This window comes from Homo sapiens, chromosome 2 (genome assembly GCF_000001405.40).
Source record: "Homo sapiens chromosome 2, GRCh38.p14 Primary Assembly".
Lineage (NCBI taxonomy): Eukaryota > Metazoa > Chordata > Mammalia > Primates > Hominidae > Homo > Homo sapiens.
The window spans coordinates 168,898,330-168,917,521 of record NC_000002.12 but is presented as its reverse complement, the minus strand read 5'-3'; the positions used below and the strand labels follow the sequence as shown (position 1 = coordinate 168,917,521).

The 19,192-nt window shown below is 38.8% G+C and overlaps 2 protein-coding genes across 5 annotated transcripts in view, besides 3 other annotated features; one reads left to right on the top strand and one right to left on the bottom strand.

Annotated features, from left to right (window-relative positions):
- ABCB11 (ATP binding cassette subfamily B member 11) overlaps window positions 1-2,132 on the top strand; it is a 115,935-nt gene extending 113,803 nt beyond the window's left edge. Inside the window, exon 28 of the mRNA XM_017005165.2 lies at window positions 1,840-2,132. Coding sequence (XP_016860654.1) covers window positions 1,840-1,917 — 78 coding nt within the window. The 3' untranslated portion in view covers window positions 1,918-2,132. The remainder of the gene's footprint in view (window positions 1-1,839) is intronic.
- Window positions 3,939-4,473: an enhancer, noted in NCBI's record as "H3K27ac-H3K4me1 hESC enhancer chr2:169769559-169770093 (GRCh37/hg19 assembly coordinates)". NCBI's record gives its function as "activates a minimal SCP1, AML or CMV promoter by ChIP-STARR-seq in primed H9 embryonic stem cells {active_cell/tissue: H9 hESC(primed)}" and the evidence as "EXISTENCE:reporter gene assay evidence [ECO:0000049][PMID:30033119]".
- Window positions 4,474-5,009: an enhancer, noted in NCBI's record as "H3K27ac-H3K4me1 hESC enhancer chr2:169769023-169769558 (GRCh37/hg19 assembly coordinates)". NCBI's record gives its function as "activates a minimal SCP1, AML or CMV promoter by ChIP-STARR-seq in primed H9 embryonic stem cells {active_cell/tissue: H9 hESC(primed)}" and the evidence as "EXISTENCE:reporter gene assay evidence [ECO:0000049][PMID:30033119]".
- G6PC2 (glucose-6-phosphatase catalytic subunit 2) lies at window positions 7,522-16,231 on the bottom strand. 4 transcript variants are annotated; one of them, NM_021176.3, is made up of 5 exons: window positions 15,973-16,231; window positions 14,968-15,077; window positions 12,906-13,017; window positions 10,743-10,858; window positions 7,522-9,954 (listed from the first exon to the last, which is right to left on the bottom strand). In NM_021176.3, the coding sequence occupies exons 1-5, from the start codon at window positions 16,188-16,190 to the stop codon at window positions 9,443-9,445; spliced, it is 1,068 nt and encodes a 355-aa protein (NP_066999.1). In that variant the 5' UTR covers window positions 16,191-16,231; the 3' UTR covers window positions 7,522-9,442. The 4 variants fall into 4 exon arrangements, with proteins under 4 accessions (NP_066999.1, NP_001075155.1, XP_011509867.1 ...); NM_001081686.2 differs by lacking the exon at window positions 10,743-10,858; XM_011511565.4 differs by lacking the exon at window positions 14,968-15,077.
- Window positions 8,784-9,579: an enhancer, noted in NCBI's record as "OCT4-NANOG-H3K27ac-H3K4me1 hESC enhancer chr2:169764453-169765248 (GRCh37/hg19 assembly coordinates)". NCBI's record gives its function as "activates a minimal SCP1, AML or CMV promoter by ChIP-STARR-seq in naive H9 embryonic stem cells {active_cell/tissue: H9 hESC(naive)}" and the evidence as "EXISTENCE:reporter gene assay evidence [ECO:0000049][PMID:30033119]".

Here is a 19,192-nt window from a genome sequence, read left to right as displayed (position 1 = left end):
TGACAAAAGTGAAATAACTAAGATTGTTTAGTGTAACAAAATACAGTATGATATTAAAAATGGTCATATTAGCTAAGCTTCCTGAGGACCTCTTCCCAAAACAAGTTTTCTTCCAGTTGATCTGTAAGAACCATTTATGATTTTTTTCTGTGAACAATTCTTAGGAAAAGTTGAAGCAGCACATCTTCCAACTTATTTTGAAAACAGGCTCTCAGTTAATTTTGGTCCATTTCAAAATTGCATGAAAGAGATGCCCATATATTAGAAATGCTACTGTTTGAGAAAAAAAAAGGTAGAAAAATTGGCCTCTAGTTTTTTTGTCCAAAAACTCTTTTTTATATAGTTACTCTAAATGTACTCTACATGTGCCCTTAGGAAATTATTTCAATGAAAAGATTCTTTGAATTTGGTGCTGCCCCCGTGCCTATAATTTTTGGCAATTATACACTCATTTTAAAATGTAGGTCCTGGAATATTTTAATACTATATTCTGAAAGTGTAAAATACATAGGATCATAATTAGGTATAGTTTGCCATATATTTATTCAATAATTAAATATCAGTTTCTTATCGTAAGAAAATATCAGAACAGTTTCATCATGTTGGTTTAGGATCCCACCTCATATTTCCAACTAAGGGTTTGATTTATTAAATATTTCTTATGCATGCAAAATCTCTCCATAATCAAGGCACAAAAGGATGTTAGAGGAAATACAAAATTAAGAATTTGGTTGTTTTCAAACACACTTGGAGAGAAATTTACATATACATGTGTACCATCATAAAATGAGCACTGTGTCCACTTGGATTTGCTCTAAATTTACAGATCAAGTAAATGATCTCACCTGCATGTGAGACGGCAGGTGAAAGTAACTCAGTGAACCTCTAAACCCATTTCCAATTTCTTTCACACTGGGTTCAATTAAATGCCCAATTAATTTAAATAGCAGACTGTAAATAAAGCAATGCACATGATTATCATCTAATTAGCACTGGCCAGCATTATAATGTGCTCATTAGCGAGTTGTATGGTATCCTGAGGCTCATAATGAGTAATCAGGGTACTCGTGATTGGCATGTGGCTATCCGAATGCAACTACTCAACCCAATAAATTGGAGTTAGGACAGAATGTGTTATGTAAAAAGAAAAAATACAGAGCCAGCTGGTGAATTGGCAATTTCCTCCTTCCTGTAATTCAGGTACAGCTCCTGCTCTCAAATACAAAATAAATGTGAGAACAGGAGAGCTGGAGATAGCAGAAGAGCTGGAGATAGAAATGGAAATGTTCGCTAAGGGTGACAGAGAACAAGTGCCTATGATTATTATACAAGATTACCAAAAAAGATAAAACCTTTGTGGTATTTGGTTTCTTTTTCATATCTCAAGTATAGAATCAAAGTAAGAAATGAGCAGAGTTTCAATAACATTTCTTGGAAGGTGAAAATTTAATCATTGAAATATACTTCCTGATAATGTTCATAAAGCATTTTGCCTTCATGGTTTTAGCATGTTACTGCAAAATAGTTTGGCAGGCTGCAGGGAGAGATGCAGCTGAGTGTTGCATTCATTGTTATGTAGGTGATAAGTCACTATGGCAGGTGTTGTCTCTCTTGACACCCAATCCGACACGCTTTTCTTTTGCTTTCCTCTATTACAGAGGCTGGAAAGCAAAATATTTACCTTCCTAGACTCCCTTGCAGCTAGATGAAGGCCAGGTGACATTGTCTTGTCAATGAAATATAGGCACAAGGCCCTATGCAGGCTGTCCCTTTCTGAATAAAGCCTGGGTAAAAGAAAACCTGAGTCTCTTCCCCCTTTCTTCTTTCCTGAATGCACAGCAGCCATGCTGTGATCACTTGGACAAAAGCCACACACCACAGATGGCAGAGCAGGAAGATATTCAGCCTGATTCCTGAACATCCTTTGTGCAGCTACTTCAGCCTGGGTTGCCTGCCTTCACCCATCTTGTTACAGAAGAAAAAGACACCTCTCACTTGTTTAAGCCACTGAAGTAGTTTTTTTGTAATTGTGTTTGTTGTTGTTGTTGTTGCTGTTAACTAAAAATTAATACAATCTTACTCAATAGATCTTTATTAATAAAAATCCTGAAATGTAAGTATAAAGAAAATAACACAATATTGAAGTATTAATGCATTCTTAAATGATCTTCAAATATGATCATTATATCTAGAGATATTCCAAAAATATTCAGTGAAAGGAGGAATCGGTCTTTTTTACCTAGTATCACTGCCATGGAAAGACGATATCACTGGATGGGTGTCCTGGCAGCTCTTTCTTTCCTGGAACATTGCACATGCCCTGCTTTAAATGAAGGAAGCTTTTACTTTAGGCACTTAGTGTTTTTTGAATATGCTTTCTCATCCTTTCACGTGATAAAATTGATGTTAGACTGGGAACAATCTAGATCCCTTTGACAGGATATGCCAGAGGTGGGAAGAAAAAGTGGTTCAAGAAAGGATGAATTTGAAAAAGGATGGGTTAGAAGAAATGGGGAGTAAAGTTCCCAGTTAATTTATAGCTGGAAATAGTCACAAACCAATTCTTCAAGTCCACAGGCCAGAGGTATCCCTGGAGTCCACCCAGATCTGTTGCAAGTGAGCCCAGAATCAATGGAGGCCTCCCCCCAGGGAAGAGCCTATATTGAACTCACCCTTGCATCTCCAGCAGCTGAAGGCATTTAATACATTCTGGTCTGGTGGGTGGGTGAGTTAAAAGACAAGCATGGACAGAAAGGGCCCTAGTTAAGTCCGTGGAGATTTTAGAAGCTTTTTGGATCTGGATTTCTAATTTTGTTCATCCTCAAAAAGCCTGGCATCATGTAACTTGGTGTCAGAGTTGTGTTTCATTCAGGAAGCACATTTCAACAGCCATAAAAAATTAAAAAGTAAATTTTATCTTTATGTCTTTGAGAAATCCGTAATTACTCCACAATAAACTTACTAAAATGCTGTGTCAAAACTCTAGTCACTTTCCTCATTCAGCTCCGTCATGTAAGCTCTCCAACCTTACCTCCCACAAAGCCAAGTTTCCCTCTCCTTCCTTTCTTCTCATTCAGCCTATTATTATGTGATCTGCTTAGTATCTCTTCCAGCAAGAATTTCTTCTTTAGGATGTTGAGAAAGGGGAACTGGAGTTGGAATTTAATTATAGGATTTCTGTTGCAAGATAGCATAGCAGGAAGTCTATGGCTATTCTCACGTTAATAATTTTGCCCCATAACATCAGTTAAATTATCTCTCCATGTACTTTTTTATTGCTATAAAATTCAGATTCTAATTAGAATCGAATGTTTTAAAGACTGGTCCAAAATTGTTTAATAAAGTAGCACATTTCAAAACAGAGTGCTTTGTAGAAGTTATAGCCTTGTTCATTGCATGTAACTAAAATTAAAACAGTATCAAAACACATTAGCCAGGGTCTTATCACCTTCTTGCTCCACTTCACAAAAAAATTAACAATACATCTGAAAGCCTTCTGTGAAGATAGTGCTTCACAAAGAGCAAACAAAATAGAGGAGCTGGTTGGAGAGACAAAGCACAATATGTTGGACTGAATGAGACCCTCAGAGTTGAAGAATATCACACCGTGAATGAACCTTCCATTTTAACCCCATACTAAACTCCTCAGTTGAGAACTGGGTAAACTGAGGCCACCAACACTAAATGGCCTTCTGGAGTTTTAGTGGTTAGATGCAGGGCCAGGCTAGAATGTAGTTCTGATGACTCCAGTCCAGGATGCTGGTTGCTAAACTCCACGAAGGCCTTTGTACATCGATCTGCCTTTGAATTTCCTGGCACCTGCCTACCTGCATTCTGACTTCCTCTGGGATCCACATGTGGACCTGTGGCGCAACCTCTTGCTTGGCCAGGGTGAGCAGGGCATCAGCATTCCAAAGCTAAGAGAATAAGATACACACACACACGCACACACACACACACACACACACATCTCCAAAACTCAGACAGGAACATTTATTTTTATTTTGTTAAGTCAATGCAGTTTTCATCTAGAAATATAGCAAGAGCTCTACCATTTTTTTATTTGAACAATTGCTTAAAAAAAAAAAGAAAGGAATGATTATGTAGAAATGTTTTTGATGCAGAATTACTGAGCCTGGAGGCAAGGGGGCGGGGCGGGGCGGGGCGGGTGGAAGATAGTGCCCATCTTCTATTAGCAGCAGGATGTATGAGCACAGATGACAATCCGGTCCATGCTGTTCATCAGACAAAGCCTGAATCCTGGAAAAAGCCAACTCTTTGAACAGGAATTAGAGTGTGATCGGCTCAGTTGACGTACAGGGGTAGGTGAGTGCGAGAGTAAAGAAGCTCTTCTTTGTCTTCGGTAGTGCTGGGTTTCTTTTCCAGGCACACAGATGGCCTGCTCCCCCTGCAGCGCACCCAGATCCTCCCAGGGAGGCCGCTTCAGTTTCCACTTGGCCAGCGCCAGAAACGGGCTGCTGTGCTGCCAGCGCCTACGTTCCTCCCCGCGCTGCGCCAGGAGTCCCGTTCGGCGGGACCGCAGCTGCTGCCTTCACTCATTACCTGCCCCTGTCCTGGCAGCTCCTTCAGAACATATTGTTCTTTGGGGAAATATCATGGTTTTTGAACTGAGGACAGATTCTCTTCAGAAATCACATGGCAAAACATTAGAAAAAAAGAAAAACTAAGAAATTTAAAAATTCAGAACAGAAGACAATCGGTTTTATGCTAACTTTTATAACCTTAATCGTTGAAGCTTTTCCCCTCCTTTAGAGCAATTACTTCTATGCTGCCAAAAGAAATGAGAAGTGATTTCATCTGAGTCATTACTGTGCTCTCCCTCAAAGGATAGCAGACAGTAATTAGTACTCCACACCAGACCTGCCTCAAATTTGGCATAAACTGCATTCGTCCTTTACAGAGCCGAAAATGAAGCACTTCTAAGTCTTAGAATCTTCTCGTGAATTTCTGTCATTTGGCAGAAATTTCTGGAGTCGTTGCTTCTTATAGATCTTTTCTACTGTTAACTTTAAAAAAATAGACTTTTAACAATTGGCAAATGGCACCACATTACCTTCAGAGTGAAATCACCATCTGAAAGCATTCGAAGTAAGGGGAGGGGAAAAGTTAGACCCCCATTTTAGTTTCCTGGCAATATTGAGATCTAGAAATTCATCCTAGAAGCTGTTTGCCATTTCCAAAGTGCCTAGGACAGCCCATCAATGAGGGCAAAATCCTCAGGGGCAACTGGACACGAGCGGTCCTTTTTGGAAGACTTTATGAATAGCCACAGAAGTACAGGTGTTGGGCATTGATGTGTGCTAGACCCAGAGAAGCAGGGAGGCTTCGTCAGAAAGCCAACCAGCCATCCAGAATGTGGTCATGGACTGGGTAAAGCTCCCCGCTAGTATTGTGTACCTTAGAGGGTTTCCAGAACATGGTGCAGGGAGGGTGAACCCAGACTCTCTGATTCCAGGCAACAGAGCTGAGAGTCCAGGGACACCAAGGCGGCTATTGCTCACAGGACAGAATGAGAGAGAAGGGAGCTGCAGAGAGAGAATCCAGGTCTGCAGAGGGTCCCTTTGGAAAATGCAGCAATATCTGTTAACTTCTTAGAGCCGTTAACGCTGATTCATGTTGTCTCACAGGAACATGGCAAAAGTGACAATATACAAAATACTTGGGTTTTATTTTCAAGGAAAATCACTGTGAGACTTGATTTGTGCTGTCCAATTCAGTAGCCACTAGACACACATGGCTATTGAAATGTAAATTAAAAGTAAATGAAGGTTAAAAATGCATTTCCGGCAGGGCTTGGTGGCTCACGCCTGTAATCCCAGCACTTTGGGAGGCTGAGGCGGGCGGGTCACGAGGTCAGGAGATCGAGACCATCCTGGCTAACACGGAGAAACCCTGTCTCTATTAAAAATACAAAAAAATTAGCCAGGTGTGGTGGCAGGTGCCTATAGTCCCAGCTACTCCGGAGGCTGAGGCAGGAGAATGGCATGAACCCAGGAGGCAGAGCTTGCAGTGAACCGAGATCGCGCCACTGCACTCCAGCCTGGGCAACAGAGCGAGACTCCGTCTCAAAAAAAAAAAAAATGCACTTCCTCAGTTGCATCAGCTACATTTCAAGAGCTCAATAAACATCTGTGGCCAGTGGCTACTATATTGGACAGCACAGATAGAGAACATCTCCATCACTGTAAAAGTTCAATTGAAGAGTGCTGGAATATACAGTTTTAAAATACTTAAGAAAAGAATCTCATTTTTAGAACCAAGTCACTTGACTTTTTCTTAAACCAAGATTTTTGTATGTATGTACCAATTTGATCTTGAATTTATTTAAAAATTTTGAAAAAATGTAAAGCATTTCAACATTTGACTTTTAGTTTCAAGGACATCTTATAACAATTCTTTTAATCACCATCTGTTTTATAATGAAATATGTCTAAAGAAGGCACCAACTTAACCTTCTTAGGCAGATGTCCAATCAATAGGTTGTCAAAGGAAAGGAACTAATATTCTTCCTGATAGCTAGTTTCAGCAATAATAAATTATTTTGTATTTTTTTTCCAAATGTAGGTTTGATTGGACAGTTTCTTGAGTCAGATTTTCTCTTGAGTCAGATTTTCTTGTCTAGATTTTCTCATCCTAAAAGCTCATGGTATTGACATTTTTCTCCTGAATATGTAGATAGGTAGACATTTTGAATATATGGTTATAGTAACAGTATTTAATGAGCTCAATTCCACTTACTTCTGACAAATAAATTGGAAACAGAAGAGTCTTTTCCATCATTATTAAGGGCAGGCATTTTCTCCAAGGCTGTGAAAAACGATTCCTCTTGCTGCCTAAGGCGTTTCAATTGCAAAAACAATTTACCACCATATGGATCCCTCCAGGAGACTTCAACTAGAATAAAGAGGGAAATCTACTCCCATGGGGACTCTGGGGTTTTTATGGAAGATAGGGGCAGAGTTCTTGGGGATTAATTATAGAAAACAAGCCCACACTTCATCCCAGTCCCCTCTGAGGGTAATGTGTTGCCCAACAGACAGCACCATGGGGTGGCTGAAGATAGCTTTCTCCATGGAAACGGAGAACGGATTTATGGTAGAGTCAATCATTGCTGCAGAATTCCCTGGCTATTAATGCCGGTTTCCTCAGGCCTTGCTGAAAGCAGGCTGAGATTGTACTAGGATGAAGGGGATGTACCAGAATCCTTCAAGACTAACATTATCTTATGTGAAATTTGGCAAAGGGCTTTTAGACAGGAATGAGATCTCTGATGTGTGGAAGATGTAATGACACAAATGTATCATGAAATGTGAAGGCATCTAAAGGTACAGCATGGTGGGACATAGGGTGGGACTGAACCAATGAGCAACGGTCATCACCTGAAGAATCATTCTTCTCTACTTCTTTCATCCCAAATGTCCCAGCAACATGAGACAAATTTCATTCTTAAGCTATTCTTTCTTAATCCCTCAGCTTTTTGCTTTGGAATCACCGAACCACTAATATCAAGTTCAGTTTATTTACCTTTTAGAAAGTTCAGTTGCCTTTTAGAAAGAAAGCTATTAAGTGCGTTTTATAAAAGCAATGACACATGCTCTATACATATACTTGGAAAGGAGTAATTAATACTTTGATTTTTTGAGGTTTGTTATCCTCAGCTACTATCATGTTAAACAACACTCACTTCAACTGTATTGTTTTCATTAATATTCATAGATTATTTAATATGTCATCTAAAATAATTAATGTATTGATATTCTGAGAAGAGTTACATAAAACATTGTGGGGGATTACTAAGATATCTAGCAAAATCTGCCTCAAAATCCTTGTACTTGATTGAAATGACACAGTTATCAACTTAAAGCCCAGCATTCCTAGATTCAATGAGGAAAAAACACACTTACTGAGAAATTGTTAATATAATATTAATAGTCCATCAACAATAATTTTCTAAAACAAAGCTATAGATTTTCATCACAGTTCAGTATACATAGAGACTAATCCAGCTAACAGATGCAAGCATTTAATAGTTGGCCTGGGTTGGAGCATGACCTTGAGGAAGGCACCTGATTTCTCTGGTTTTGAAAGTCTGTCTCCTAAAAATAAAGTATGGAGATGTCATAGTGAAGAGATAAGTCTTTGGGGGTTGAATAATGTTCTATTAGAGTAAGTTCAGTAGAATTTATTGAAATATTGGTGAGCACTACTGTAAAACAGAGACCAGAAGTGAAGCAGAGGTTCAAGTCCATACTGTAGCCTGGCCTGTTCTGTTGTCCCTGGACCCGTGTGTATATACATCTGGAGCCACTGTTGGTCCCACCTAGACCCTGCATGTATGTGTGGGGTATAAGTCAAAGAGGATGCAGTATTTCAATGTCATTTCTGAAAAGGTAGCTGATTTATATGGCAGTCATCATAGAATCTAAATGAAAGCATTCATTCTTACTGATTTTTACCTCTTGTAAATGAAGAAACAAAAGACAGTGTAGGCCAACTATTAATACAATGGCTCAAGCCTGCAATCCCAGCACTGTGGGAGGCTGACATGGGTGGAACATCCTCAAGGGAACTCCTTGAGGCCAGGAGTTCAAGACCAGCCTGGGCAAATATAGTAAGAAGCTGGCTCTAAAAAATATTCAAAAATTAGCCAGGCATGGTGGTGCACACCTGTAGTCTTAGCTAATGGGAGGCTGAGGAGGGAGGATCATTTGAGCCAGGAGTTTGAGGCTGCAGTGAGCCGCTATCCACCACTGCACTCCAGCCTGGGCAACAGAGCAAGTCCCTGGTTCTAAAAAGGAAACATACAAACAAAAAGCATGTGCATGTGTGCACACTCAAACACACAGTGTAATGGGGATATGTGTCAGAAGCCTTGGGTTCTAATTCCTGCTCTGAAGGTGGCGTGACTCCAGGCAAGTTCTTTTACCTAAATAGGCTTCCATTTCCTCATCTGAAAACTGAAACTGGATATGGCTGTGGTCCCCACTAAAATGTCAACAGGAATCAGATGCAGCCTGGCCTTAAGAAGATAAAGGAATCATAGTGGGGCTCCTGCTGGGATGCTGAAGACTGTGAGAAAATGGAGTCCTTGCCTCCTACTGGGGACTGTTAGTATGCAGCTCTGGTCAGTTGTCTCCAGCTGGGGATGCAGGCTCTGTGTTGTCATACTATCAGATTTTTCAAGAAATACAGAACTTCCGATTTTTATGTCAAATATTCTTGTATCTAAATATTGGTAACTGAAGGATTAAAAAAAAAGACCAGTGCGAAGGCCAAACTAAACATCTCTATGGGGAATGGGGCCTGTGCCGCTATTCTGTGAAGTCGGATTAGAAGCCTCTGGTCTGTGCCTACTCTGTGGCTCTACTGGTGGATGGAGAAGGGTGATCTGTGACACAGAGCACTAACTCTAGGCACCACTCTACTGACTCTTCTTTCCGCTTTGTTTCATTAACATATGAACAGAGTAGGGAATGAAAGCAACCACAGTTAGGGGAATGGATGCACTTTTACAAAAAGACAGCACATAAAATAAATGCTCTTCGTGAGTCGGGATCTGGAGGAAATGGTAGAGCTGCAGTATTGTCAATGAGGTCAAGGCACAGAGCAACCGGAAGCTCAGTGTGTAGTTATTTCCCCCTCGGCAGCTCAGGAGGAACATCTCTGAGTTGATTGCAAAGCCCAAGCCAAAGAGGACCCCAAGGTTTCTCACGAGTCCAGCAAAAGGCGTGGTGTCAATGTGGATCCAGTCGGGGTTAGCACACCACTTTTTGGCTATGGGCACGGACCACAGCAGGTCAATGTTGAGCACCCTAAGAAGCAGGTAAAAGCCAACTGCAAACAGGAAGAGAAAGAGGTTGGTCTTCAGGTATGTGCCCAGACTGGCCGTTTGGATGCCTGGAGTGTGTTCAAAGGCCTCTGCCACCAGCATGCCTGAGGATTGGAAAGAGACACTGACAATGACTGTGTGCCCTTGAGCCCCTCGAGGATCATTCCTCTCTGCATTAAAGATTTGCCACAGTTTTCAATGACAAAGGGCATTAGACACAGAGGTTCTATCCATTTTCCAAAGCCTTTTTTAGGCAGTAACTAAAAATGCAGGTTTGCCCACGGTGTTTTCATTATTCATACTAGTCCAGAAGGATCGTTCTGGAGTTGGTGGCACTGACTGACAACCCGCTTTTTAGACAGAGCACTGATCTAGGTACTTGCAATTAACATTTCAATTGCCATAGCCAATTAGCCTTTGAAAGGTAAGGTGGTGCTGAACAATGGAAACTGAGTCATGGTGAACACTGCTTCAGGAATACAAAGCAGCTACTAAATGGAGTCCGTAATCATGTAATAGTCACTTCACATGTTTCAGAGAGAATGGCACAGTGTGCAGGGCTCAGAGTCATTAAGTTCCCTCACGCAAGACACAAGCACACTGTCTGAAGTGATGGTTTGGGAGTTAGACTTAGCTCTAATTTCACTTCAGAAAAGCCTACCTCATGAAGCAATTGTGCATTTACGCCACTGAGATTGTGCCACTTTGTACATGGAGGCTATGAGAGGTGTGTTGTACCACGTCAGCTCCCGGGGTAGCATTTAGTATCAGTGACTTCACAGAATTACCTCTGAAATTGGAAAGTTGATTACCGGGGACAATCTGATACCCTTAAACATAATGAAACTAAAGCTTTCAAAGGACACAGCTAAAGGTAAGTGATCATATTTACCACCAATTACTCCAAGAATAACTTGATGAGGAAAATGTGTTGCTATGAATACTCTGGAGATGCAGACACTGATTTGAATCAACCAAAAAACACTCCAAAGAAATGACCAGGTCAGTCTACGATGGAAGAATAGATACAAGCATAAAAAGCAAAGAAACTGGATCACTCAAAATTAGAGGGGGTGACATCAGATGATCCTTCTCAGAAGAATCTTCTAACTGTGACATAGCATCATGATTCTAGAATCTTTTTTTTCAAAATGTTGTTTCCACATACCCCATAGGATTTGAGAAGTTTTAACAGAGATTTCTACATTTCTCAATGCATTAAATTTAACCAGTGCTATATACTGAGATTTAATAAATGTTAAAAAGGAAGTCATTTTGACATCCATTAAATAAGAATAACTGTTTTAATGGAGTAGGGGAAATTCAAGTTTGGGGGAATTACTAATATCCAGAATGATCAAGAATGAACCATATATATTTTCACGCCCTGCCCTATGTGCCTCCTCTCTCAACCTTTCTTTGCTTGAGGAAAACTCAGTAGAAACGCAGCTACCATCCAGATGAAAAGCGCATGAGCATTCCATCTGGGGCAAATTTTTTCATTGGGTTTAATTGCACAGATTTTCAAAAGTCCTTGTTTCTTGTTTTTTTTTTTTCTTTTGTTTTGGGTTTTGTTTTGTTTGTTTTTTTTTTTTTGAGACACAGAAAATAGAGAACAGGGGAATTGACCTATAGGTTATACACTTTGGATTAAAAACAGCAATGCACAAAAAACATAAAAAAATATTAAAATCCAAGCAATGCATGTCATTGAAAAAAAAAAGTGTTAGCAGTATTGAGTTCTAGGAATCCTTGAATGGTTTGTTCCTGATAATCAGACTGAAATTTGGTTATATAAATGCTAAGGAACACAGAGAAATGAGGCTTTGAAAGAAGAAGTAAGTGGGATACCAATGTGGAAGAAGAATAAACAAGAATTTGGTAATGTAAAGGTAAGAAGCACACACTCAGTAAAATTTTATAGATGAAGAAAATACTGCAGTTATAAAAACTAAAAAGGAGTTATGAGAATTTTTTTCTTAGAAGAAACATATTTTTTCAGGTTTGGTCATTGGAGGCAGGAATACAGTATAGAGAAAAGGTGAAACTGACCTAGATTCCTACTTTGAAAATTGTCTGTAAATAGAAAATGCTAACTTTTTTACATTATAGCACCTTTTTATGTTGTTGTTTTGGGTTGGGCAATAAATACATTAAGGCATACAGGTCACAGTCTCATTAGAATAAACTTTTAAGACACCCAAATTCCTTTAGTTGTTTGTTTTTTATATTATCCAATACTACTCTAACAAGTGGAATATGTGATAGATCTTGACTTTTTTTATTTTAGAAAACTTTTTAATAATGGCATATGTTACAGTATTTTTTTAAGGTTAACTTGCAAATCTAATTTCAAGTCACCTAATTTATGGCTAAATTGGTACTCAGGATTGTTTTAATGACAAAGTATTTCAGGAAAGAAGAGAAGGAAACAACCCAATTTCTAAGCAACTGTGAGTAACCTTTAAGTTCTAGATCTTTCTAAACATTAAGAAACCTACTAACATTAAATCTACTAACATTCAAATTTAAGTTTGCTTCCAGAATGTTTTTAATTAAAAAGTTTGTGCTCTCTATAAAGCTGGAATATATGTTACTGAAATCAAAAGCATTGGCTATTCGAAGAAGGAAGCATAATTTTACTGAATAAACTGATGCAGTCAAGGAGAATGATGATTCTCAAAACTTCCAGTTAATTTTAAAGCAAGGGAATGTGCATGCAAAAATGTTTCCTTATGCTGTATAATTTTAGACGACTTATTTATGAGTTATCAAAATAATTATTGCATTTTGGAAACCCAGAGGCACATTTAGCAAGTCATTAATCAGTTAAACATTTCCAACTTGAAAAGTGGAAATAGCTATGAGCTAATTAGGCTATTATCTTAAAGCAAAATATTAGTTTTCTATTCATTTTGTTATTTTGTCTATGAAAGAATAGAATAAGCACATTTTATTCATTGACTAAAACTGCACTAAAATTAATTTTTAGACAAGACTTTCTGTATTAAAAACTGTCATATTCCAGTGCTACAGAAACTGCAGCAAAGCTGACCTGTGCAGAGTGATAGAGAACTTATCCATCCCACAGACAGTGTGGCTCAGGGCAGCGGTTACCATGACATACCAGACACAGGATGCGCCCATTGCATGGCCAGATGGACTTCCTGCAACAACAAAGTGTCCGTCCATTTGAAAAGTGGTTAACTATCAAGATCAGAAATGAATAATAGAATAGCATATTCCCCATGAAAATTATGAGTAACTCAGAAAAAAAGACAAGACACAGGCTATATGTAATGTTTAGAAGTGGGTAGAAATAAGAAAAATTGAGTTAAATTGAGCCTGAGAAACACTGTCTCAAAAAATTTTTTTCCCAGATTTTCAGGTTCATTGAATTCCAGAAATCAATATACTCAAGGCTAATTAAGAACTCAGGCAGTTGCACCCAAATCTGCCACAGCCCTACTCATTCTTCAATATTTGGTTGTTTTTAATTGACAAGCAAAAGTATTAGGTTAATGCAAGAGTAATTGCGGTTTTTGCCATTGAAAGTAATGGCAAAAACCGCAATTACTTTTGCACCACCCTAATGCTTGTATTGGATCTTCAGTTGGCTTATTTTCCTTGGGCTGAGAAGTCAAACTCTAAAGGATATCATTGCTATGCCAGTGATTTGCTGATTGACTTACAAATGACTGCTGTGTACTAGCAGCTACTTCTATGCCTATCTTGTGGCCACTGCAGTGAGAATCTTTGTTTTAAAACAGAGGATGAGGAGAAGCTATAAAGACGGCATTAATCCTAGCAGAAAAAGCCTTTCTACTTCCAGAATGCCTTTTCCATGCTACTGAATTTTTTATTAGTTTCCTTAAATGTCCTCCTCGATTTTTCACCTGGTAGTTCATTCAAATTAAATACCAGTCTCTTATTTGTTAAACAAAGACAGACCTATTTCTTATCTGCAGGAATTTTCAGAGCCTTTTAAAAACTATGCCTTAAAAAATTGTAAATCTCCCCGAGAGATGCAGTCTTTCTTTCTTTTCTCTCTCTCTCTTTCCAGAAAATGTCTTATAAGGTGGAACACATGCCGGAAAGGACTGGAATTGACCACGATAACATTTCGGTGGTCTCAAATGTTACCCATCCAACCATTCATCCATTTATCACACTTTGGTTTCACAAAGATAAACTATGCATCATCCCTCCCCTGATGGAACACCCAGTCTAGGCAATCGGATATATAAAGAATTAGTTAATATCATTTAGTGTAATAAGCGATATAACAGATGTATGTATACTTCTATGGGAACAAAAAAGACATATTCAGAACACTCATTAAGAATTTACACATTCTCTACTACCCTTTACTCAAAGTTAGTTTCGAAGGATGTCAACTGGCGAGAATGTTATGCTATGTAAAATGATGAGGTACAATATAACACATTCTTATAAATTAAAATGTAATTTTTAAATATATGTTTCAAAAAACTTTTTAAAACAGTCTTAGAATCAACTATCACAATAAAGATTTTATACTCATACAGAATCTTACCTAGAATAAAAAAGAAGTGGCCCAAGAAGCCTACTTGTGTACAGAGAAAAAATATGTTTTAAAGAGATTGTTCTAGGGTTAGAAATAGTCTTTACTGGCTATAGTAACATTGAGAAGTCCTTACCTTTCTTACAGAAGACTTGTCTACTCCTCCCTCATTCGTGAGATACTCGGAAGACCTATAGTAACTTTGAAAGTTGCTTAGCAGCAGATTAACCAACATTTCTAAGATCTTAGTCTAGTTCCTTGAGAATTTGTTCTAGTTAACTGTTTCTTGTTTTAGTATCAAGTCATTATATTCTTCTGAAAAGTAAACACCAAATATTTAATCACTGGGGGAGTTTTCTCCCAATCTACCCTTTCATAAATAACAAAATGGAATTTGAGTATTTTTTTTGCTTTGCTTCCTCATTAGTAATTTTGATTGTTATGAAGTTTTAGCATCCTCACTCATGAGATTTTCTTTACTACCCTATATAATATCAGTTCCTAGATGATAACCCTGTGTAATGATTCTCTATTGGAAGATCTTCAGTAACTGGAGCCTGCTGTAATAGCTTACCTGGACCTGTTTCACATGTAGTAGGGAACTGTTCAAGGCATGGACTTGAGTGATTTGGGTAAATCTGAGTTTCTTGGACCCACCAGTAAGGTCGATGACCAAATAATATCCTGTATTTAAAGAATTATAAACATGCATATATATTTAAATACACAGCTATTATTTAATTGGAGATTAGCAATTCTTTCCTATAAAAAATGACTCAAGCGCAGGGTTAATTGTGAAAGTTCATGATTAAGAGACTTTGAAAAAACTTAGGTCTTGGTCTCTCACACATTATTAAAGGTGGTAGCCATTTGGTATTTTGGCACCCTGGTTTCCCATGAACATGGGGGCTTTTTTCCCTTGCAGGGAATGTCTTATGGGTGCTTTGGATACTTAGACTGGAAATATCAAAATTTGTCCCTAGAATTATCAATTTGTTCATTATCACGCTGCTCATGTAAGTAATTCTTAATCACAGAATATGTGTTACAGGGGTTTGGGAATTACTTATAAGTCATTAAAGTACACATTTCTGGCCTGGCGTGGTGGCTCACACCTGTAATCCCAGCACTTTAGGAAGCCGAAGTCGGTGGATCACCTGAGGTCGGGAGTTAGAGACCAGCCTGACCAACATAGAGAAACCCTGTCTCTACTAAAAATACAAAATTAGCTGGGTGTGGTGGCACATGCCTGTAATCCCAGCTACTCGGGAGGCTGAGGTGAGAGAATTGCTTGAACCTGGGAGGCAGAGGTTGCAGTGAGCCGAGATCACGCCATTGCACTCCATCCTGGGCAACAAGGGCAAAACTCTGTCTCAAAAAAAAAAAAAAAACAAAAACATATATATACATTTCTGTGCCTTTTAAAAGTTCTACTTATGAATCTGGTGTTTCAAGTTACCTGGTATTTTTGAAAGATTTTCCAAGTAAAACGATATACATCTGAAATGTGATCATTATGCCGAAGTCACAAATTTAAGGATAAATCTTAGGAAAAAATGAAATAAAACAGAAATCTTACCATTTAAATATAAGATTTAACCAATCCCCAATGACTGCTACCCATATCATCTTGGTTCCAACTGTCTGATTAAATTGAAAACAAAGTGGAAAATAAATGAAAAAGATATTCCTGGGGTCTCCAACATTGGACATAAAATTTAGAAAAGTGTAGTAAGCTCGGTAGTCCTTCTGCAAATGCTGAATTATGAGCACTCCATTCCTGTGAAGGAAATCCATCTTGAAAAAGAGGCAATTCTAAACATAGAGCAATTGGAGCTGAAGTGCTCTGATTCCCACCGTTTTTATACTGTGCCTTTGTGGCATGTCGAGCCATTACTGCAACATGTGATGCTGACCATCTGTGGAGAGGGCACACCAGCCCTCCTCTGCTGAATAGCTCATCTATTTATGATTTTAATTGGTGGCAAAGAGTGAAGTACATGCTGATCTGTGGCAATTCGAGGGGGAAATTTGGATAGAAACACAATGAATTTCTTATGCAACCTCCCTTTTGTGCGAACAGTTGGATCATGTTTGCTTGAAATTTTTTGTACAGTTCATTTCCTCCAAGGTCAGACATTAGCAATTTCTATGTTTGGTGAAAAGACTTTGCAAATAATTATTGCATGTCAAATAGCCCATAAAGCCCTGCATTTTAATTTAAGATAGGCTGTGGCTCTCTATTTTATTGGGTCTTTGAGGAAAATGGTTGAATAAATATCTGGGTATGAAAAATATATGATATGACAGATTATGTTCTGATCACTGATTTAAAATAAGAATAGTTCAATTTTCTTTATCCAAGAGAATGATAGAATATATATGGAACAGGGAAAGAAATGTGTTGTTTTTTGACTATAAGACAAGAAAGCAGAAATGAAAGTCATTTGGATAATAGAAATGTGTTAGGATCAAATTGTATCTTTTATTAACTAGAGAATACAGTTGAGAGGAATAGGGAATGATTCATGTGACAAAGATAGGAATAGACATCAAAGGGCTTTTGACCAATCAGGAAAATGGTTTGTTGAGAACAGAGTGTTAAACAGAAGTGGAAAGCACCAAACAAATGCTAAGAATGAACAGAAGGGTAGCGCAAAGAGGCTGTGGATCTAAGTCATAGGTCCATAATCTACGGCTGTGGACTATGACTAGACTATAGACCAGGACTCTGGTCCTGGACTATAGACTACGACTGGACCCTGGACTATGGACCAGGGTAGACTGAGAATGAACAGAAGGGTAGCACAAAGAGGCTATGGATCTAAGTCAGAGAGATGTTGGGTTTAGAGAGCTGGATTGTGTCTAGGATTAGTGGGAAAGCAACAAAGCCTCACAAGGTGGCCAGGGATGGATCTAGGTAACCTTACTTGTTATTTTGTCATTCAGATTTTTGTCTTTGCTTACCATGGCCTAAGTAAAGACAAAAGACTTCACTAGAGTCCTTCACAGGCTATAACTATCACTTTGAACTTCTCTTCGAGTTTTGTGTCCCATCATTTAACAGCACCATTGTTACTGGGCTTCAGTGTCTATTGGTACCTTACCTGGAAGAAATGCATTGACTGACCATTAACATCTTTTGGGGTGCTTTTTAAATTGCCATAACTGTGTTCCACCTGAGATCAGTTATATTTCTGGTAATGGAATTTGGGCATTGGTATTATTAAAATACTTCTCAAGTGGTTCCAATGTGGTATAAGGGGCTTAGAATCATTGCACTAAGGCAATTCATATAAGGAATTATCCTTGACTAATTAGAGTCTATGCTTCTGGCTTTTCTTTGTTTTGCATATTCAGGTTCTGTAATTTCCATAATCTCTTTAATGAGCCATGAGGAAGAGCATAACTTCCCTTTATTCTTTTTCTAAAAAGTGTTTGATCTACGTAATTCATAATACTCATTTTCTTCAGAAATGTCTTATCCTTAAATCAGGATGTGAATGATATCAAATACATTTTGTCTTCCACTTAAAAATTAAACTTCCTGCTCTTCAGCACCTCAGAGTCTGTGATTAGCCTTTCATCTATGGTAGTTAATTTAGAAAGATTTTCTCTCGAGAACTACCTGGTTCTGTAGACTGTGGGATAATTAAGTGAAGCAAAAGCATCTTGATTTCTTTCACCCTTTAACAGCATCTGCTAATCTGCTTATTCCTCGTAGTTCATCATTTTTAGTCTTTTCATATCTTAGCTTCTATGCATCCATCGGTGATGCCTTCTCTGACCAGCATCCTCACCACTCCTCTGACAATACTTTCTCTCACACACTCTTTTCTCCTAGGGGGTTGTTTGAGTCTGCTAGGGCTGCTATAACAAAATACCAGACTGGGTGGCTTACACAACAGAAATATAGGAAACTAGGAGTCTGAATCAACGCGTCGGTGGCGTTGATTTCTTCTGAGCCTCTGTCCTTGGCTTGCAGATGACTGTCTACTCTCTATGTCTTCACATGGTCTTCCCCGCTATATGGGTGTGTTCTAATCTCCTCTTTTTATAAGGATACCAGTCTTATTGGATTAAGGAAGATACTAATGACCTCATTTTAACTTAATCACCCCTTTAAAGACCCTATCACCAAACACAGTCATTTTGGGAGGTACTGGGGCTTAGGACTTCAACATGAATTTGAGGGAATACAGTTCAGCCCATAACCGGGAGTTAAACACAATTTATAATTATATATTTATGACAAGTGTATATATTTAGCATCTCTCTCCTGTACTACAGTATAAGCTCCATAAAACAAGGGGTCCTGTCCACTTTGTGCAACAGCCACAAGCACAGTTCCCATAACAGGCCCGTGTAGAAGCCAATTACCCATGAAGCTGGAAAAGTTCGCACGGGCGCCTAAGATGGTAGGTTGGGCCGGGCGCAGTGGCTCACGCCTGTAATCCCAGCACTTTGGGAGGCCGAGGTGGGCGGATCACTTGAGGTCAGGAGTTTAAGACCAGCCTGGCCAACATGGTAAAACACCATCTCTACTAAAAAAAAAATACAAAAATTAGCTGGGCATTGTGGTGGGCTACTGTAGTCCCAGCTACTCGGGAGGCTGAGGCAGGAGAATCGCTTGAAACCCGGGAGGTAGAGGTTGCAGTGAGCCAAGATCGTGCCACTGCACTCCAGCCTGGTCTACAGAGTGAGACTCTGTCAAAAAAAAAAGGCAGGTGGTTACTGATAGTTTAGAGTGCATTCACGAGTTTATTTTCTTTTTATTAAAGAGAGGGCCTATATAACAG

Excerpts from the sequence above, each read along its gene's own strand:
- G6PC2 (NM_021176.3), bottom strand. The coding sequence starts at position 16,190 with ATGGATTTCCTTCACAGGAATGGAGTGCTCATAATTCAGCATTTGCAG. Across the intron at positions 15,078-15,972 it reads TTAAATCTTATATTTAAATG|GATATTATTTGGTCATCGAC; the intron begins GTAAGATTTCTG and ends CTTTAAATACAG. Across the intron at positions 9,955-10,742 it reads TATTCTTGGAGTAATTGGTG|GCATGCTGGTGGCAGAGGCC; the intron begins GTAAATATGATC and ends TCCAATCCTCAG.